This window comes from Homo sapiens, chromosome 9, assembly GCF_000001405.40.
Source record: "Homo sapiens chromosome 9, GRCh38.p14 Primary Assembly".
Lineage (NCBI taxonomy): Eukaryota > Metazoa > Chordata > Mammalia > Primates > Hominidae > Homo > Homo sapiens.
This window is the reverse complement of record NC_000009.12, coordinates 125,054,893-125,076,713: the sequence shown is the minus strand read 5'-3', so window position 1 is coordinate 125,076,713 and position 21,821 is coordinate 125,054,893. Positions and strand designations below refer to the sequence as shown.

General features: G+C 40.7%; 1 protein-coding gene across 6 annotated transcripts in view; it reads left to right on the top strand.

Moving 5' to 3' along the window:
• The window catches only part of SCAI (suppressor of cancer cell invasion), a 200,921-nt gene that overhangs the window by 66,815 nt on the left and 112,285 nt on the right, over nucleotides 1–21,821 (top strand). For 3 of the 6 annotated variants that reach the window (XR_007061281.1, XR_929768.2, NM_173690.5), the window contains exons 3-4: nucleotides 10,656–10,724; nucleotides 20,707–20,838. Coding sequence is in view for 2 of the 6 variants with exons in the window: in NM_173690.5 (NP_775961.2) it covers nucleotides 10,656–10,724; nucleotides 20,707–20,838 (201 nt within the window). In the remaining 4 variants the exon portion in view is untranslated. The remainder of the gene's footprint in view (nucleotides 1–10,655; nucleotides 10,725–20,706; nucleotides 20,839–21,821) is intronic. The other 3 variants (XR_007061282.1, XR_007061283.1, NM_001144877.3) reach the window with 1 other exon arrangement.

Sequence of the window (21,821 nt, the reverse complement as noted above, 5' to 3'; positions counted from 1 at the left end):
AAAAAGAAAGGAAAAATGGTGTTTCGCCATGATGTTGGCCAGACTGGTCTCAAACTCTTGAACTCAAACAATTTGCCTGCCTCGACCTCCCAAAGTGCTGGGATTACAGAGGTGAGCCACCACCCAGCCATCCATGTTTCCTTTTTTCTTTCTTTCTTTTTTTGTTTTTTGGAAGTGCAGGCCACACAGTTTTGTTTTGTTTTGTTTTTTTGAGATGGCTTCTCACTCCCTCTGTGGCCTAGGCTGGAGTACAGTGGTGCAATCTTGGCTCACTACAACCTCCACCCCCTGGGTTCAAGCGATTCTCCTATCTCAGCCTCCTGAGTAGCTGGGATTACAGGCGCGTGCCACCACGCCTGGCTAATTATTGTATTTTTAGTAGCAATGGGGTCTCACCATGTTGACCAAGCTGGTCTGGAACTCCTGACCTCAAGTGAGCTGCCTGCCTCGGCCTCCCAAAGTGCTGGGATTACAGATATGAGCCACCACGCCTGGCCCATAAGTATCTTTCAATGAGTTATTTTTATTGTTGTTCTGCTTAGTACAGATTAACCCAACATTTGATGACTAACAGCCTTCTGTCAGAGTATGCTGAGATGTTGCTCGAGTGTCCCCTCATGATTTTCATGTTGTTTGTATTTATACTACATACACAGACTGTTGGCCACTGTTGCTCTCATCTTTGTATATGATCGATCAACAAGGAAATGTCTGTTGGCTGGGTGTGGTAGCTCACACCTGCAATCCCAGCACTTTGGGAGGCCGATGAGAGTGGATTGCTTGAGGTCAGGAGTTCGAGACCAGCCTGGCCAACGTGGTGAAACCTCATCTCTACTAAAAATACAACAAGGCCAGGCGTGGTGGCTCACGCCTATAATCCCAGCACTTTGGGAGGCCGAGGCGGTTGGAAAACTTGAGGTCAGGAGTTCAATACCAGCCTGGTCAACATGGTGAAACCCTGTCTCTACTAAAAATACAAAACTAGCCGGGCATGGTGGCACATGCCTGTAATCCCAGCTACTTGGGAGGCTGAGGCAGGAGAATCACTTGAACCTGGAGGCGGAGGTTGTTGTGAGCGGAGATCGTGCCACTGTACTCCAGCCTGGTCAACAGGAGCGAAACTCCATCTCGAAAAAAAAAAAAAAAAAATTAGCTGGACGTGGTGGTGCATGCCTATAATCCCAGCTACTTGGGAGCCTGAGGCAGGAGAATTGCTTAAACCTGGGAGCAGAGGTTGCAGTGAGCCGGGAGATCATGCCACTGACAGAGTAAGTGAGAAGCTGTCTCAGAAAAAAAAAAAAAGAAAGAATGAAACATCTATGTGGCCTGCACTTCTTTACAGACTAAATAGAAATATAGACCTAATAGCTTGCTGATTGGTGATTGAGGCTTTTGCCTACATTTCTTGTTTCCTCTTGAGTTTTGGTGTTATAAATAAATAAATGGTGATTTAAATGAAAGTACATTGTATTTTCTGCCTCTGTGAGTTCTCTACTGGAGACAGTTTGAATGAATTGTTAGGAGTAGGCGACTTTGAGTCATGCTTCCTTACATCCGTCTCCAGATTCATATTTTGGATGCTTTCTTTCATTTTGTGTATTTTTGTATTTCCTGCCCCATTAGCTTCATAAATAGTCATTCCATGCATCTTGTTTGTATGTATTGTTTTTAGATAACCAACTAACTGGTCCTTAGTTTTTCATCTTTTATTTTTTTTGAGATGGAGTTTCACTCTTGTTGCCCAGACTGAAGTGTAGTGGTGTGATCCTGCAACCTCCGCCTCCTGGATTCAAGCGATTCTCCTGCCTCAGCCTCCCGAGTGGCTGGGATTACAGGCATGCACCACCATGCCTGGCTAATTTTGTATTTTTAGTAGGAACGGGGTTTCGCCATGTTGCTCAGGCTGGTCTCGAACTCCTGACTTCGGGTGATCTGCCCACCTCGGCCTCCCAAAGTGTTGGGATTACAGGCATGAGCCACCTTCCCTGGCCAGTTTTTTATATTAATAATATAAGAGTTTAGATTTTATTGGGTTTGTATTTAAATTAGATCAAGTTTGGATTTGGGAACCAGCATAACTGCAAGCCTGGAAATCCTTAGGAGATTCTATCTGTTCTTTGCCACTGAGAGAAGTACTGACTATTCTGAAAATAAGGCAGAATGAGGCCAGGCTCATGCGTGTAATCCAAACACTTTGGGAGGCCGAGGTGGGCGGATCACTTGAGGTCAGGAGTTCGAGACCAGCTTGGCCAACATGGTGAGACCCCCATCTCTACTAAAAATACAATAATTAGCCAGGCATGGTGGTGCACGCCTGTAATCCCAGCTACTCAGGAGGCTGAGGCAGGAGAATCGCTTGAACCTGGGAGGTGGGGGTTGTAGTGAGCCAAGATTGTGCTGCTGCACTCCAACCTGAGTGACAGAGCGAGACTCTATCTTTTTTTTTTTTTTTTTTGATATGGAGTCTCGCTCTGTCACCCAGGCTGGAGTGCAGTGGTGCAATCTTGGCTCGCGGCAACCTCTGCCTCTCGGGTTCAAGCAATTTTCCTGCCTCAGCCTCCTGAGTAGCTGGGACTACAGGCGCGTGCCACCACACCTGGCTAATTTTTTGTATTTTTAGTAGAGACGGGGTTTCACCGTGTTAGCCAGGACGGTCTCGATCTCTTGACCTCATGATCTGCCCACCTCGGCCTCCCAAAATGCTGGGATTACAGGCATGAAGGCATGAGCCACCGCGCCTGGCAACTCTATGTTTAAAAAAAAAAAAAAGGAGAACGAGAGTGCTTAGGGAAATTGAGAGCATTTGGAAGAATAGGAAGAATAGAAGCCTGCAGTCTGTGAGTGAAATGTAAGGGTATTTGACTAACCATACAGGGAAAAGAAACCTTTCAGAGTGATTAAATCCTGTACTCTTCATTTTATTTACACATTTATTTTATTTTTATTTTTGTTTTTCTTTTTTATCTTTACATGACATTGACCAGGCTGGTCATGAACTCCTGACCTTGTATAAGTGTCTTTTTGCTGCATAAACAGAGTCATAGGATAGACATTGCTCCAAAGAAGATATGCAAATGGCCAATAAGCAGGTGAAAAGATGCTCAGCATCACTTGTCATTAGAGAAATGCAAATCAAAACTACACTCATTCATATGGCTGCTATCAAGAAGGTATAATAGTAATAAATAGAAAATAACAAGTGTTGAGAAACATGGAGAAGTTGGAGCTCTTGTGCATTGTTGGTGGGACTATAAAATGATACAGCCACTGTGGAAAACAATATAGCAGTTCCTCAAAAAATTAAAAATAGGGCCGGGCGCGGTGGCTCACGCCTGTAATCCCAGCACTTTGGGAGGCCGAGGCGGGTGGATCACGAGGTCAGGAGATCGAGACCATCCTGGCTAACACGGTGAAACCCCGTCTCTACTAAAAATACAAAAAATTAGCCGGGCGTGGTAGCGGGCGCCTGTAGTCCCAGCTACTCGGGAGGCTGAGGCAGGAGAATGGCGTGAACCCGGGAGGCGGAGCTTGCAGTGAGCCGAGATCGCGCCACTGCACTCCAGCCTGGGCGACCGAGCGAGACTCCGTCTCAAAAAAAAAAAAAAAAAAAAAAAAAAAAAATTAAAAATAGAATCCTCATATGATCCAGCAATTCTACTTCTAGGTTTATATCCAAAAGAATTGAGAGCAGGTTCTTGATGAGATATTTGTATACCCATGTTCATAGCAGCATTATTCACAGTAGTTATAACATGGCAGCAACCCATGTGTCCATCAGTGGATGAATGGAGAAGCAAAATATGGTATATAAAAACAAGGGCGTATTATTCAGCCTTAAAAAGGAAGGAAATACTGATATATGCTACACCATGAATGGATCATGAGGACATAATGCCAAGTGAAGTAAGCTGGACACAAAAAGACAAATACTATATGATTCCACTTACATGATATTCTTAGAGTAGTCAAACCTATCGACAGAAAGTAGATTGGTGGCTGCCAGGGGCTAGGAGGAGGGGAAAATGGGGGAGTTATTAAGTAGTGGGTATAGAATTTCAGTTTTACAAGGTAAAAATGGAGATGGATGGTGGTGATGGCTATACAATGCTATGGATGTATTCAATACCACTGAACTGTACACTTAGAAATGGTTAAGATGGTAAATATGTATATTTTACCACAATAAAAAAGTAAAAAAATAAGTCATAGGAATAAATTTTTAAAAGCTATTTTCTACATTTTTCAATTTTTTCTGTTTTATTTCTTCATTTATACTCAGTTTATTAAACACTGTTTCATTGTTATTTTTGTATATTGGAATGATATAATTCTTACTACAGTTACTTGAGTAAGAGAAGAAATTTTTAATGTAACTATATCTTTTCTCAGCATAAGAATCTCTACTATCTTACGCCTGTAATCCCAGCACATTGGGAGGCCAAGGTGGGCGGATCATGAGGTCAGGAGATCGAGACCATCCTGGCCAACATGGTGAAACCCCGTCTCTACTATAAATACAAAAATTAGCTGGGCGTGGTGGTGCCCGCCTGTAGTCCCAGTGACTCAGGAGGCTGAGGCAGGAGAACCGCTTGAACCTGGGAGGCAGAGGTTGCAGTGAGCCGAGATTGCACCACTGCACTCCAGCCTGGTGACAGAGCAAGACTGTCTCAGAAAAAAAAAAAAAAGACTATCTACTATCCCCTGTCTCTTGCCCTCTTTAGTTTTCCCTTCTGGCACTGGCATTGAAACAAATTCATGCAGATCTGTATGCCTTAAGCAGTGAAAGTAATTTGTTCTTTTGCCCTGAACACGTCATGCTAATCAGAACTTAGTTTCCTCAATAAGTATGGACTAATTATACCAGTGTGCACTAGAGAAAATGCAGAATACAGCAAGCGGAGCCAACATTTACTCTGATTAACCAACACTCCTTTTGCTCTGTGTATCAAGCAATTGTGTGTTCTTTTTTTTTCCTGCCTTTTTTCCCTTTCACTGCAGTACTTTCTGCTAGGTTGTGCTATGTCTCAGTTGAATTACTACTGGAATTTGTGTAATTGTGTGTGTTAGATAAACATCTCTCTTTTTCTGTATTTGATAGGCAAAATGATGTCTTTATAGTCTTGTGGGCAATATTTTACAAATGGCCTTCTGGCTGTGTATCACTGCTGCTCCATGCCAAAACTCCTTTGGCTTCCTTTTCTTAAACTCTCTGTCCTCATGGTATTATTCAGTTTCTTTATACATTGATCAACAAGAAGTTTGGTACCTATGCATTTCTCTTTTCATTATTATTATAACATGTAACTTTTTTTCTTTGAGTTAGAGTCTCATTTTGTCACCCAGGCTGTAGTGCAGTGGCACAGTCATGTTCATTGCAGCCTAGAACTCCTGGGCTCAAGTGATCCTTCCACCTCAGCCATCCTAATAGCTAGAACTATAGGCACACAACACCATGCCAGGCTGATTTTTTACAAAAATTTTTATAGAGATAGAGTCTTGTGATAGTACATTAGTCCATTTTCACACGGCTAATTAAGACACACCTGAGACTGGGTGATATAAAGGAAAAGAAGTTTAATGGACTCACACCTCCATGTAGCTAGGAGGCCTCACAATCATGGTGGAAGGTGAAAAGCACATCTTACATGGTGGCAGACAAGAGAGAAAATGAGAACCAAGCGAAAGGGGTTTCCTCTTATAAAACCATCAGATCTTGTGAGACTTATTCACTACCATGAGAACAGTATGGGGGAAACCGCCCCCATGATCCAATTATCTCTCGCCGGGTCCCTCCCACAACACATGGGAATTATGGAAGCTACAATTCAAGATGCGATTTGGGTAGGGACACAGCCAAACCATATCAGATATTGCCCAAGCTAGTCTTGAACTCTTGGCCTCAAGTGTTCCTCCTACCTTGGGATTACAGGCATGAGATTACAGGTGTGAGCCACCATGCCTGGCCTTGTAATTTAACTTCAGTAACATGTTGGAATAAGACAAAAAGATTGTTTTGGCCTGGTGTGGTGGCTCATGCTTGTAATCCCAGCACGCTGGGAGGTCGAGGTAGGTGGATGACTTGAGGTCAGGAGTGCTAGACCAGCCTGGCCAACATGGTAAAAACCTGTCTCTACTAAAAATACAAAAACTAGTTGGGTTTGGTGGCAGGTGCCTGTAATCCCAGCTACTCGGAGGCTGAGGCAGGAGAATTGCTTGAATCCTGGAGGTGGAGCTTGCTATGAGCTGAGATTGCACTGCTGCACTCAAGCCTGGGCAACAGGGCGAGACTATGTCTCAAAAAAAAAAAAAAAAAAAAGATTGTTTTTAGAAAATAATTTGTGTATAATTCATGATAATTTTATGCTATCCTTGATACATGAAGATGCTTCACACTGTGGTAAGGACCAGCTTTTAGAGCTCTGTCATTTGTTCCCATTATAGGAATGCCATCTGTACCAAGTGGTAGCTATTCTGTTTATACTGAATATGGCAAAACCATCATCATCACCCCTCACATATACACACATATTCAACACTTTCTGTACTTGGTATTTTTCAATTTATGCTGTTTCGGAGTGTATTTGCAACAATTTTGCAACTAACAATTTCATGGTATAGTGTAATTTATAGCACAGTTTCATATCTGTTAGTTCATTTTGTGCAACAACTTTAAGAGCTAGGTATTATTAATATTCCATTTTTACAGCTGAGACATGTGATAGTATTTTATGCTCATGCTTAATTATACAGCCATTCCATCTCTTTGTATGTTTTTTAAAAATATGAGCTCATGGCCGGGCACGGTGGCTCACGCCTGTAACCTCAGCACTTTGGGAGACCGAGGTGGGCAGATCACCTGAGGTCAGGAGTTCGAGACCAGCCTGGCCAACATGGCGAAACCACATCTCTACTAAAGTACAAAAATCAGCCAGGTGTGGTGGCGGGCGCCTGTAATCCCAGCTACTCAGGAGGCTAAGGCAGAGAATTGCTTGAACCCGGGAGGTGGAGGTTGCAGTGAGCCAAGATCATGCAACTGCACTCCAGCCTTGGTGACAAGAGCAAGACGACGTCTCAAAAAAAAAAAAAAAAAAAAAAAGACCGGGTGCAATGGCTGACGCCTGTAATCCCAGCACTTTGGGAGGCTGAGGCGGGCGGATCACAAGGTCAGGAGATCGAGACCATCCTGGCCAACATGGTGAAACCCCGTCTCTACTAAAAATACAAAAATATTAGCCGGGCGTGGTGGTGGGCGCCTGTAGTCCCAGCTACTCGGGAGGCTGAGGCAGAAGAATGGCATGAACCCCAGAGGCGGAGCTTGCAGTGAGCCAAGATCACGCCACTGGACTCCAGCCTGGGCGACAGAGCAAGACTCCGTCTCAAAAAAAAAAAAATCTGAGCTCATAACAAAATGATCCCTTTCTTAGCATGTGATTTCCATAAATGCTCTCCTTTCTTTGTCAGAATAAATTTTTTTGTTTTTTAATTTTTCTTTTCTTGAGATGGAGTCTCACTCTGTCTCCCAGGCTGGAGTGCAGTGGCATGATCTTGGCTCACTGCAACCTCTGCCTCTCGGGTTAAAGTGATTCTCCTGCCTCAGCCTCCCGAGTAGCTAGGGTTACAGGTGCATGCCACCAGGCCTGGCTAATTTTTTGTATTTTTAGTAGAGACAGGAGTTTCACCATGTTGACCAGGTTGGTCTTGAACTCCTGACCACAAGTTTTCCAACCGCCTTGGCCTCTCAAAGTGCTGGGATTATAGGCGTGAGGCACCGCGCCTGGTCAAATTTTTTGTTATATTTTTATTTTCTTTCCTATGTACTTCCTTTCTTTTCTCTGCCTGTTTACCTTTTCAGTCTGATCACAGAGTTGTTCCTTATGTTTTTGAAACATCACTAACTGCAGAATAATAACGATGGTGATATTATATATTATGTAGTGTTTTCAAACTGATTTTACAGCTGAAATCTTATTTTTATCTTCACAACAGGTATCTGAGGTAAGCAAGCCAAGTGTAAATTTATTTTTAATTTTTTTATAAAAAATTTTTAGAGAATAATTGAGATGGGGTTTTGCCATGTTATTCAGGCTGGTCTTGAACTCCTGGCTTCAAGCAGTCTGTCTGCCTTGGACTCCCAAAGTGCTGGGATTAGAGGCATAAGCCACCATGCCCAGCCTCTTTGTTTTTTGTTGTATTTTTTTGTTGTTGTTGTTGTTTTTCAGACAGGATCTCACTCTGTCAGTCAGGTTGGAGTGTGGTGGCTCAGTCAGCTCACTGTAACCTCAAACTCCTGGGCTCAGGGGATCCTCCTGCCTCAGCTTCCCGAGTAGCTGGAACTACAGGTGCATGCCATCATGCCTGGCTAATTTTTTAATTTTTGTAGAGATGGGGTCTTGCTTTGTTGCCCAGGTTGATCTTGAACATCTAGCCTCAAGCGATCCTCCTGCCTTGGCCTCCCAAAGTGCTAGGATTACAGGTGTGAGCCACCATGCCTGGCTTGTAAATTTCTTGTTTTGCTGGATTAAAAACTTGCAATCACAGTGTTAACTAAAGTTATTTTTGGTTAAAATCACATAACTAAGTGTTAGCAACAGAAATACTCGGGCTTTTGTGCTATACCAAGGCCCTTTCCACTGCCATTATGACTCCACTTTATGCATACTGGTATAATGTAATGCAGACTTAACATTATTTTCTCTCAAGATTTCTTTCAGACTTTCATATTACCAACTACTTACTCAGAATTCAGTCCAGAGAGGCAGTTTTTCTTGTTGCTTTGTCACAAACTTCCTATAAAAAGTAATTATCAACAAGGCAGGTCAATAATTTGCCAAATTTTCTTTACTCAGCAAAACACATCTTTGAGCAGTTGTCCCTGCTCGTTGTTGTTTTGCTTGTTTGCCCATTTTGTAATCTGTGTAAGGACTCTATCGATGTATTATGTATCTATGTATTAGTTTCCCAGGCCTGCTGTAACAAATGAAAGGGCGTTGAACTTCATTAGTTGTCAGAGAAATGCAAATTAAGACAAAAATGAGAAATGACAAGCTGGGTGGCTTAAAACAACAGAAATTTATGCTTTCATAGTTCAGGAGGCCAGAATCCAAAATTAAGTGGTTGCAGAATTGGTTCCTTCTTAGCGACTCAGAAGGGAAATCTGTTCCAGGTCTCTCTCCCGGCTTCTGATGGTTGCCAGCAATCCTTGGCGTTCCTTGGCTTGAAGCTGTGTGATTTTGATCTCTGCCTCCGTCTTCACGTGGCTGCCTTCCTTCCTGTCTGTCTTCACATGGCATTCTCCCTTCCCTGTGTGTCTGTCTCTGTGTCTCCTCTGCTCTTTAAGGACAGCAGTCACATTGTGTTCAGGGCCCACTCTACTCCAGCATGACGTCATCTTAACTTAGGCCTTAATTACATCTGCAAAACCCCTATTTCCAAAGAAGGTCCCGTCCCGTTCACAGGTACCAGAAGTTAGGACTTCAACATATCTTTTAAGGGGGACACAATTCAACCCATTAAAATATATGTTCTTTTTCCTTTGTCTCTACTTCTATTCTTGTGATATGTTTACCCATGTGCTTCCCACAAGTGTCTGTTGAATTGATCTTGTTTATGGATTTCCAGTCTGCCCACATAATTTATATATACAGTCGTGTTGCTTAACAACAGGGATATGTTCTGAGAAATGTGTCATGAGGCAATTTTATTGTGCAAATATCATAGAGTGTACTTACACAAACTAGATGGTATAGGCTTCCTACATACCTAGGCTTCACGGTATAGCCTGTTGCTCCTGGGCTGCAATCCTGTACAGCATGGTACTGTACTGAATACTGTTAGCAATTATACAATGTTAAGTACTTGTATATCCAAACATATCTAAACATAGAAATGGTGCAGTAAAAACACAATGTAAGAGATTAAAAAATGGTTCCAAGCACAACTGCATCTTTAAAAAAAATAAATAGGCCAGGCGCAGTGGCTCACGCCTGTAATCCCAGCACTTTGGGAGGCCGAGGCAGGCGGATCACGAGGTCAGGAGATCGAGACCATCCTGGCTAACAGTGAAACCCCGTATCTACTAAAAATACAAAAAATTAGCCGGGCGCGGTGGCAGGCACCTGTAGTCCCAGCTACTCATGAGGCTGAGGCAGGAGAATGGTGTGAACCCGGGAGTCAGAGTTTGCAGTGAGCTGAGATCATGCCACTGCACTCCAGCCTGGGAGATAGAGCGAGACTCCGTCTCAAAAAAAAATAAATAAATAAATAAAATAAAATAAAATAAAAAATGGTATACCTATCAGGGCACTTACCATGAATGGAGCCTGCAGGACTGGAAGTTGCTTTGGGTGAGTCAGTGAGCAAGTGGTGAGTGAATGTGAAGGCCTAGGACATGACCATACACTTCTGTAGATTTTAGAAACACTGTACACTGAGGCTACACTAAATTGATTTAAAAATTTTTTCTTTGTTCTTGGGAATATAGAAATATACTTAACCTTTATATGTGTTGACCTTTTATCCAGAAACTTTGCTAAACCCACTGGTTAATTCTGATAATTACATATAGATTCTTTTGAAATTTCTATGGAAATGTTCATGTTATGTACAAATAATAACAGCTTATATCTTTGTTTTCTTTTTTTCTTTATTCAATACAGTATCAGAGGTTCTGGTGATAGCAGTCATTCACAATCTCAAGGGGAAAGATATCAACATTTCACTGAAAAGTATGATTTTTGCTATAGTTTTAAAATACATATCCTTTATAAAATTAATGAAGCTCCCTTTCTGTTCCTAGTTTGCTGAGTTGGTTTCTTTTTCTTAATTGTGAGCCAATGTTAAATTTTACCAAATGTGAGTTGTGCATCTGTTGAGCAATTGTAGTATGATTTTTGTCCTTCATTCTACTTGTGTGATAAATTACAGTGATTGATTTTCAAATATCAAACCAACTTTACATTCCTAAAATAAGTCCAATTTTGTCATGTCCTTTTTATATATTGCCGAATTGGACTTGCTAACATTTGGCTTAGTATATTTGTATCTATACTCATTAGTGAGAATGGCCTGTAATTTTGCTTTCTTATAATATCCCTGTTAGGGTTTGGTATCAAAATTATGTTGGCATCATAAAATGAGCTGAGGAATGTTCCTTCTTCTCTATTCTGTAAGAGTTTATGTAAGATTGCCTCTTTTTCTTTTGTCTTCTTTAGATGTTTTTTATAAATTTGACAGTGAAACCACCTGGGTGTGGAGTTTTCATTGTGGGTAGGCTTTCAATTAGGCTGTCAATGTTTTAGTAGATCTAGAACTCTTCAAAATTTCTTTGTGTATCAGGTTTAGCAAAAAGTGTTTTTCTCAGTGTTTGTCTATTTTACTTAAATGTTCACGTTGATGGCATTAAGTTATTTATAATATTCCTTTTGTGATCTTTTTGTTTTCAGCAGTGATACTCCTTTTTTTCATTCTTGATATTAGTTATTCTCTGTTGTTGTTTTTTTTCCCCCGTGGGTCATTCTTGCCAGGGTTTTATTAGTCTTTTTAAAGAACTAACTTTATTTTGTTGACTTTGTTGTGTTTCTTATTTAATTAATTTCATCTATGTAAATTTATTGCCCTCTATTTTCTTTGGGTTTAATTGGCTGCTCTTATTGGCTGTTCATTTCCTAACCTCTTTTTAAATGTATGTGTTTAAAGGCCAGCCATTTCTCTCTAAGCATAGAATTATCTGTATCTATAAGCTTTAATTTTCATTGTGAATCAGTTCAGAATGTTTTCTACTTTTCATTATGATGTTTTTTGACCCGTGAATTATTTACATGGATATTTCTTAATTTCCAAACATGGGATTTTTTTGTTTGTTTGTTTTTTGAGATGGAGTTCCACTCTGTCGCCCAGGCTAGAATGCAGTGGCACGATCTTGGCTCACTGCAACCTCCGCCTCCTGGGTTCAAGTGATTTTCCTGCCTCAGCCTCCCAAGTAGCTGGGGTTACAGGCACCCACCACCATGCCCAGCTAATTTTTGTATTTTTAGTAGAGACGGGATTTCACTATGTTGGCCAGTCTGGTCTTGAACTCCTGACCCCAGGTGATCTGCCCACCTCAGCCTCCCAAAGTGCTGAGATTACAGGTATGAGCCACTGCACCCACCTGAGAATTTTTTTAGTAATATTTTGGCTATTGATTTCTCACTTACTTGCAGTGTGGTCAGAAGGTATACTGTAATTTTAATTATTTGTGACATCTAGGGACTTGGTTTATATCTAGCATAGAATTAGTATTTATTTACTTATTTATTTGAGATGGAGTATGAGAATTAGTATTAATTAATTAATTTATTTATTTGAACCACGGCACCCGTCTAGAATTGGTCTTTATGATTGCTCCATGGGTATGTGAATAAAAAAGACATATTCTGCAGTTTGTAGATGTGTGGTTCTCTATATTTCAGTTAGGTCAACTTTATTAATGGGGATTTTAAAAATCCTACTATCGTTAGTCTTTTTTTTATGATTCTTTTGTTAGTTACTGAGGGATATGTTCTAAAATTTCCCCTTATGATTGTGGATTTGTCTGTTTCTTCATTTAGTTTTATCCGTTTTTATTTATATATTTTGAGGCTATGTTATTAGGTGCATATGATTTTTAGAAATATATTGAATTGGCTGGGCGCGGTGGCTCACGCCTGTAATCCCAGCACTTTGGGAGGCCAAGGCAGGGGGATCACCTGAGTCTGGAGTTCAAGATCAGCCTGGCCAATATGGTGAAACCCCGTCTCTACTAAAAATACAAGACTTAGCTGGGCATGGTGGTGCATGTCTGTAATCCCAGCTACTTGGGAGGCTGAGGCAGGAAAATCACTTGAACCTGGGAGATGGAGGTTGCAGTAAGCCGAGATCCCGCCATTGCACTTCAGCCTGGGTGATAAGAGTGAAACTCTGTCTCAAAAAAAAAAAAAAAAGATAAAAGGGATATATTGACCTGAACACTTTGTCACTAGGGAATATTCTTCTCATCTATGTTGATTTTTTTTTTGAGGGGGACTTAAAGTCAGTGTCGCCTGATAATAGCGTAGCTACACTTCTTCCCTTTTGGTTGATGTTTCAAGATATGTATTTTCCATACTTTGACTTACAACCTTTTCAATCTTTTACTCATGTATCAGTTTTTTTTCTTAAATCCAATCTGATGGACTTCATCATTAAATTTTATTACTTAGTTCATTAAAATATATTGTAGCTACTGACATATTGTGTTTTAATTTTACTGTTACACTCTTTGCCTTCCATTTGTCCTGTCTTTTCTATATTCATTCTTTTTTTTTTTTTTTTCCTCCTTTGAGATTGATTCTCACTCTGTCACCTAGGCTAGAGTGCAGTGGTGCGATCTTGGCTCACTGCAACCTTCACTTCCTGAGTGGCTGGGATTACAGGTGTGTGCCACCATGCCTATCTAATTTTTGTATTTTTAATAGAGATGCTGTTTTGCCATGTTGGCCAGGCTGGTCTCGAACACCCAATCCAAGTGATCCGCCCACCTCAGCCTCCCAAAGTGCTGGGATTACAGGCGTGAGCTACTGCGCTGGGCCTAATCTTGCCCTTTTCTGGGGGGGGTGGGGGGTTATAATTAAAACCATTCTATTATTTGACTTCATTAGTACTTACACAGTGTTTTACATTTTTTTTTTTTTTTTTTTTGAGACGGAGTCTCACTCTGACACCAGGCTGGAATGCAGTGGTGCGATCTGGACTCACTGCAACCTCCTACTCCCTGGTTCAAGTGATTCTCTTGCCTCAGCCTCCCAAGTAGCTGGGATTACAGGCACGCGCCACCATGCCCAGCTAATTTTTGTATGTTTAGTAGAGACAGGGTTTCACCATGTTGGCCAGGCTGTTCTTGATCTCCTGACCTCATGATCCACCCATCTCAGCCTCCCAAAGTGCTGAGATTACAGGCGTGAGCCACCTCACCCGGCCTTTGTTTGTTTGTTTGTTTGTTTGTTTTGCAATTTTGGCTCACTGCAACCCCCGCCTCCCAGATTCAAGCGATTCTCCTGCCTCAGCCTCCTGAGTAGCTGGGATTACAGGCGTGTGCCACCACACCCAGCTAATTTTTGTATTTTTAGTAGAGATGGGGTTTCATTCACCATGTTGGTCAGGCTGGTCTCGAACTCCTTTGACCTTGTGATCCACCCACCTTGGCCTCCCAAAGTGCTGAGATTACAGGCATGAGCCACTGCGCCCAGCCTGCTTTTCTTTTTTTTTTTTTTTTAATTTTAATATAGAGACTAGGCTGGGCACAGTGGCCCATGCCTGTAAATCTAGCACTTTGGGAGGCTGAGGCAGGAGGATTACTTGAGTCCATGAGTTTGAGACCAACCTGGGCAACATGGGGAGACCATGTCTCTACAAAAAAATACAAAAAATTAGCCGAGCATGGTGGTGTGCCTGGAGACCCAGCTACTCAAGAGGTTGAGATAGGAGGATGGCTTGAGCCTGGGAAGCAGAGGTTGCAGTGAGCCATGATCACGCCACTGCACACCAGCCTGGGCAACATAGCGAGACCCTGTCTCCAAAAAAAAAAAATCTAGAGATTAAGGCATGCTTTCCTGACTTAAAATTTAGTATAAATTATTATTTTTGTCACTTTCAGAATAATGCAAGGACCTCAGCAAACTTTAACTCCATTTATTCCCCTTTCAATTAATAGACTAACATTTTTTCCATTCTTCTGTAAAACACATACATATCTTCATTTTATAATGTCAATATTTGCTTATATTTACCCATGCATCTCCTTTACCCTTGCTCTATATTTTTTTCCTATATCTCTAAGTTTCTTTTTTTGATTATTTTCCTTTTGCTTAAAGGACACTCTTCCTTTTGTTCTGCTGGTGATGAATTCCATATATATTTTTTTCTTTTCTTTTCTTTTCTTCGTTTCATTTCTTTCATTTTGAGCTGGGTCTTGCTCTGTTGCCTCCAGTGGTGTGCAGTGACACTGTTATAGCTCACTGCTACCTCAAACCCCTGTGCTCAAGCAGTCCTCCCACATCAGTCTCCTGAGTAGCTGGGACCACAGGTATGTGCCACCATGCCTGGCTAGCTTTTGTATTTTTTTGTAGAGTCAGCGTTTCACTGTGTTGCCCAGGCTGATCTCTAACTTCTGGACTCAAGTGATCTGCCCTTCTCAGCCTCCAAAGTGTTGGGATTACAGGCGTGAGCCACTGGGCCCAGCCTTGAACAATATTTTTTTAAGTTTAGGTTTTATATTACTTTGTCCAAAACTATTACCATAATCCATTTCAATTCATAAGACTGAAATAAATACTTGAGGTATTTGAAGTTCTATTGAAGGTTTAGTTGAAGAGCAAGAATAAATGTAACATGGGTTTAGCCCTTAAGGACTTTTTTTTTTTTGAGACGGAGTCTCGCTGTATCGCCCAGGCTGGAGTGCAGTCGCGCGATCTCTGCTCATTACAAGCTCCGCCTCCTGGGTTCATGCCATTTTCCTGCCTCAGCCTCCAGAGTGGCTGGGACTACAGGTGCCCGCCACCACGCCCAGCTAATTTTTTGTATTTTTAGTAGAGACAGGGTTTCATCGTGTTAGCCACGATGGTCTCGATCTCCTGACCTCATGATCTGCCTGCCTTGGCCTCCCAAAGTGCTGGGATTACAGGCGTGAGCCACCGTGCCTGGCCAAGGACTTTATAATCTGGTATGACATGAGGCACAGGTTTCTGTAATATTAGAGTAGAATGTGATAAGTAGCAGCTACAAGGAAGGATGGTATATTTATGAAATACTTGAATAGGAACACTGAGAAAGTCATGAAACTCAAACTATTTGTCTTTTGCAACCTAGCTGTATTAGTCCATTTTCATGCTACTCATAAAGACATACCTGAGACTGGGAAGAAAAAGAGGTTTAATTGGACTTATAGGTCCACATGGCTGGGAAGGCCTCAGAATCATGATAGGAGGCGAAAGGTGCTTCTTACATGGCAGTGGCAAGAGAAAATGAGGAGGAAGCAAAAGCGGACACCCCTGATAAAACCATCAGATCTTGTGAGACTTACTCACTATCATGAGAATAACATGGGAAAGATGGCCCCATGATTCAATTACCTCCCCGTGGTTCCCTCCCACAACACATGGGAATTCTGGGATTTACAATTCAAGTTGAGATTTGGGTGGGCCAAACCATATCACTAGCATACTGAAAGATTTAAAAATATATATGATGATCTTTTTGGTTATATATTCAGAATACCTGGCTGTTTGCAAGACAGTTGGAACTACTTTGAAGAAATATGCCACTCTGAAGATGTCTGCTGAGAATTATCTCCACAAACAATGCTGTTGCTAGGATTACATATTAATGCCATCTTTATGTGGCCATATGTCTTTATCAGTTTCCTTTCACTATCTGCCATGGCTTTTTTTTTTTTTTTTCATACTAAGCCTTCTAAATCTGGCATATTTTACACTTATACCTCACATTTATAGCACATCTCAATTCAGAGTAGCCATGTTTCAAGTGCCAAATAGTGACAAAAGGCTAATGACTACACTTTTGGACAGTGTGTGTCTAGATGGTGAGATAGACTTTTCAAAAAACAAATAATTGTTATATTTGTTCAACTCTTTGTGAAGTAACTGAAGAAGCCCCTACTGACTTGATCAGAAGTAGGTGCCAGGGAAAGATTTAGATTTTCAAGGAAAGTTTTACAGAAAAGTTGTCGTTTGAATGCTGTCTTCAACTATGAATATAAATTTGGTAGGTGTACAAAATAGGCCAGGGGAATAGCGTGTAAATCATGATGCTGTATAAGAGTAGGATTTGTTCAGAGGCTTTCAAGTATTTCCTTGTGGTCGGAGAATAGGTACGTGTGTGCTAGTGGAAGGTGAGACTGGAAAGATAGATTTTGAAGAATGTCAGATGCTAGTGATTCTTCACCAGTTCTTGTGTTATGAGTAATTTACCAGTAATGACAGTTAACCTCAGGATAAATTTTCTGCAGTGTAATTGATAGATCTCATAGAATGACCATTTAATGTCCCCTCATACATTCAGGGAAACTTATGGGTTTGAACTAATTTACACTGCCTCTAGCAACTATGCTGGTTTCAGTGCATGTTCAACTGCTATAATTAGTGTAGTTTTAATGTGCTCATTTTGCTGCATTAGGTTTGTATTTTGTTACTGTATTTTACTGTGTTTGTATTTTGTTCACCAATTCATCATTGGTGGTTGAACATTTTTCTTATTAACATTGAAATTTACTCCTGTCTAGTCCTTAGACCCCATTCAGGCCTTACCAGTTGTCTCAATAACATCCTTTACAGCAGAAGGATCCAGGGGAGAATCAGGCATTATACCTCAGTTTTCCCTTGTCTTTGAAGGAAAGTACTTGACATTTTTGAAGATTACAGGTTGGTTATTTTGTAGAATGTCCCCCAACTTGGTTTTGTCTGTTTCCTCATGATTAGACTCAGGCTACAGAACTTTGACAGGAACAGTACTTCTCATCGCATGGGACTTTGATTTGTCTGATTACTAATGATGTTCACTTTGATCATTTGATCAAGGCAGTGTCTGCTGGATTTTACTGCTGTGAAATTACTTTTTCCCTTGGAAGTAATGTGTAGTTTATGGGGGAAGTATTCTGAAACTATCCCATTCACTACCACACTTTCCATTTATTCACTCATTTATTTATATCTATATTGATTCATGATTTCTTATTTTGTTCAGTAGGTTATAATCCATTGCTATTACTATTGGTATTGATGCTGAAATTACCCTGTTTGGCCAGTGGGATCTCCTTCAAGCTTGATCCTATGTCTTTTTGACATTCTTTAGCATTCCTTGAGCACTTTCTTGCTTACTACCACAAGATATTCCAGATTGATCCTGTACTTTTTCTACCCCTGTGCTGTAATTAGTGAATTACAATTCTCCAGAGATGTCTGGTTCCTTTTATTGGAGAATGGTATTAGGGGCCAAGTGTTAGGTGCTAGAAACGTTCATACCACTGGGGAGGGAAGATGATCACTGCTCCAAGGCGCTCTCAGTAGATAGAATTACAGAGCTAGGGAGTATGCATCTGTGTGTGCTTATGTAGACACACACACCATGCATGTATGTCCATGTCTTCAGAAATCCATGAGTTCACTCATACTTACAGTTTATTTTTTTTGAAACGCAGTCTCGTTCTGTCGCCCAGGCTGAAGTACAGTGGCATGATCTCAGCTCACCTCAACCTCCGCCTCCCGGGTTCACGTGATTCTCCTGCCTCAGCCTTCCTAGTAGCTGGGGACTGCAGGCACACCCCACCATGCTGGGCTAATTTTTGTATTTTTTGGTGGAGATGGGTTTCACCATGTTGCCCAGGCTGGTCTCAAACTCCTGACCTCAAATGATCCACCCACCTTGGCCTCCCAGAGTGCTGGGATTACAGGCATGAGCCACTGTACCTGGCCCAGTTTCAATCCACAGAGTTCATTCTAACTTCTTCCATTTCCATATTTGCATCTCCCTTCTCTGCCAAGTGAGAACTCTGGGTCCCATTGCCTTTAATAAATCTTTTTTAAAAAAGAATTTTTTTTTTTTAAAGAAATGGGGTCTCATTCTGTCACTCAGGCTGAAGTGCAGTGGAGGGATCATAGCTCTCTGCACCCTTGAACTGCTGGCCTCAGTCGACTCTCCTGCCTCAGCCTCCTGAGTATCTGAGGTAGCTGAGTAGGCACCTGCCACCACATCTGGCTAATTTTTACATTTTTTGTAGAGACAAGATCTCACTGTATTGCCCAGGCAGGTCTCAAACTCCTAGCCTCAAGTGATCCTCCTGCTTCTGCCTCCCAAAGTGCTGGGATTACAGGCGTGAGCCACTGCATCTGCCCTTAATAGATCTTATTTGATCCTTCCCTCTTTATATAGCAAATCTCCCATTGCTGCTTTGAACCCTTCTATGTGGAGGTGCTCAGGCTCCTACTTTCCCTGCCAGTCCTCCACCCTCATGGGTGCCCTCCTCCTCCTCCACACTCGGCCTTCAACATCCTGTGCAAGCTGGCTCTGCCTGCGAATGGCCTCCTCACGTAGCTTATATTCCGACAACCATGCAGGTACCCTGTGATGTGGATACCCACTTGGTGGCTATAAGAGTGAATTTTTCAGGAAGGGAAGAGAATTCTGATTTCCTAAGTTTTACTTTAATGGTTCTAGCTGTGGGATTATTTTGACATTCTTTGAGTCCTTTCAATTTTAGGTGTTACATTTTCTCTAATTCTGGGAAATTTAGTCATTATTTCTGCAAATATTTCTTCACTCTCATTTGTGTTTTTCTCTCCTCCTGTGTAAGCTATTGTGTGGCAGTTGATTTCCCTCATTTCTCTATCTTATCTCTTGCTTTTTCTTTTATATATTTAATCTCTTTCTACTGTCTTTTGGCAGAGTACCCCAAATCTGATATTTTAGCTTATTTATTTGTTCAACTGTATCCTTTCTGTTCTTCAGTCCATCTATTAAAATTCATTATTTCACCAATTGTATCACATTATTTCAGTGACTATATTTTGTCTGCCTATTTTTACATCCTACACCAGGACCAAATTTTCCTGTTGTTCCAGGAATTTCTGTCTGTGTGTAAACACAAATCAGTTTTTAAAATTTAGGTTTGTATTGTACATACTGTCTGACAACTTACTGTTGTTTTCTGTTTTTACATGGCAGCTTTATGAAATTTATTACAAGTGGAGATAGTTTCAATATAGTTTTAATATACGTCTGTGTGTGTACGTGTGTGTGTATGTATATGTGTGTGTGTGATTTTATATCCCTTTTATACTGAAGTGTACTCATACCATTGCCTCACCTTCTTAAACAGAGTTGTAAGTTAGTGATTGGGTAGAGTGCAGTGGTCAGTATTCCTAACCATTTTAGTCTTTGGGGCCTTTAGGTTGTTTTCAATTTTTAAATGTTATGATACTAAAATAAATACACGGATAAAGTGTTTTCCCATTTGTGGGATCATTTTCCAGAAGGATTTATAGAGTGGATCAAATGGACAAATAAATCAATATTTTTAGATTGTTAACCATGTAGAGGAATGCCTAGAACATAACAGGCATTCAAATAATATTTATTAGAGGAAAGGATATTATAAAAATTGCTTTCTAATATGGTTCCAATTTTCATCCATACCAATGATAGGAGATGATCTATTTTCTTTCTTTTTTTCTTTGTTTTTTGAGATGGTGTCTCGCTCTGTCACCCAGGCTGGAGTGCAATGGCACGTCTCGGCTCACTGCAACCTCCGCCTCCCTGGGTCAAGCAATTCTGCTTCCTCAGCCTCCTGAGTAGCTGGGACTACAGGTGCCCACCACCACGCCCGGCTAATTTTTGTATTTTTAGTAGAGACAAGCTTTCTCCATGTTGGCCAGGCTGGTCTTGAACTCCTGACCTCAGGTGATCCATCCACCTCGGCCTCCCAAAGTGCTGGGATTACAGGTGTAAGCCACTGCGCCCGACTGAGATGATCTGTTTTCTTACAGTATCTTACACTTAAATTATATTTTTGTGATTTGATTGTAATCAGAAGAATTCTATATCTGTCTTGGATAAAAAATACTATCAGATGATATAACTAAGGTTTTTTTCTATTTTTATTTTTACCTCCTGCATGAATGAACATATGTTTTCTTACAGGACTGAATTTGCTCTTAAAGAAATCATGTCCTCTGGAGGTGCTGAAGATGATATCCCACAGGGAGAGAGGAAAACAGTTACAGATTTTTGTTATCTTCTGGATAAATCTAAGCAACTGTTCAATGGGTTAAGGTGAGTGGACTCTTGGTGTTTTGAACTTTTCTTTAGTTCTGCATTTGTTTTTTTTCTGGCTGATGTGTGGTAAGTTTCCGAAAATTATGGGTAGAATGTCATATAAATTTCTGTATTAGAGTGATCATGATTTTTTCTTTGACATCATTTTTAAAATTCTTGGATAAAAAAACAATAGGAAAAGAGGATAACTTACACTGTTTTAGTCAACTTAAAAAGAGCTATTTTGTGAAATGGTTTTGTATACATAACTCACACCAGATCTGATTTTAATCTGGTTTTGCACATTAGGGTGTTGAGGTCTGAGGAGCCTAAAAATGCATATGCAATTGAATGTGGAGCCTCCTATTGCATTTTTGTAATTTGTTTACTTGCTTGTTTCTTTTATTCTTTCTTTCTTTGTTTTCTGGGATGAAATGTCTGTGCCTAAAGTAATGATGGTTACCTTTGTCTACCAGATTGGGGTGGTGATGGTGGGGGGTGGGTGGAAAAAGTAATGATGAGGTGTTATAAACCATGCTATTTATGATTTAACCTGTATTTCAGTTCTTGAGAGTCTTAGGATATTCACTGACTTCAGACCTAAAGCTTCATTAGCTTAGTACCAGTTAGAAGAAAATTCATACAATAGGTAAAATTCTAGGGATAAACAGGTTTTATTTTTGAAAATTTACATAGGAAGGAGTGATTGTAAAGATACTAAGTTATTTTAAATTATGGTTTATTTATGGATAAAAATGAAATCTTTTTATCTTACATTTTACAATTGTATTATACATCCCCAGGTTTGGACGTATACTGGCAGGGTTTATTTTTAAACCAGATAATTTATCTTTTAAAAAAATTATGTGAATTTTTCAAATACCATTCTGTCTAAAGCTGCCCTTTTAATCATTCTCTTTTTCCTATATTCATTTGATTTGCTTCATGACACTCACCACTCTTAATATTATTTACTTGCTTATTATGTCTCTCCCGCATTA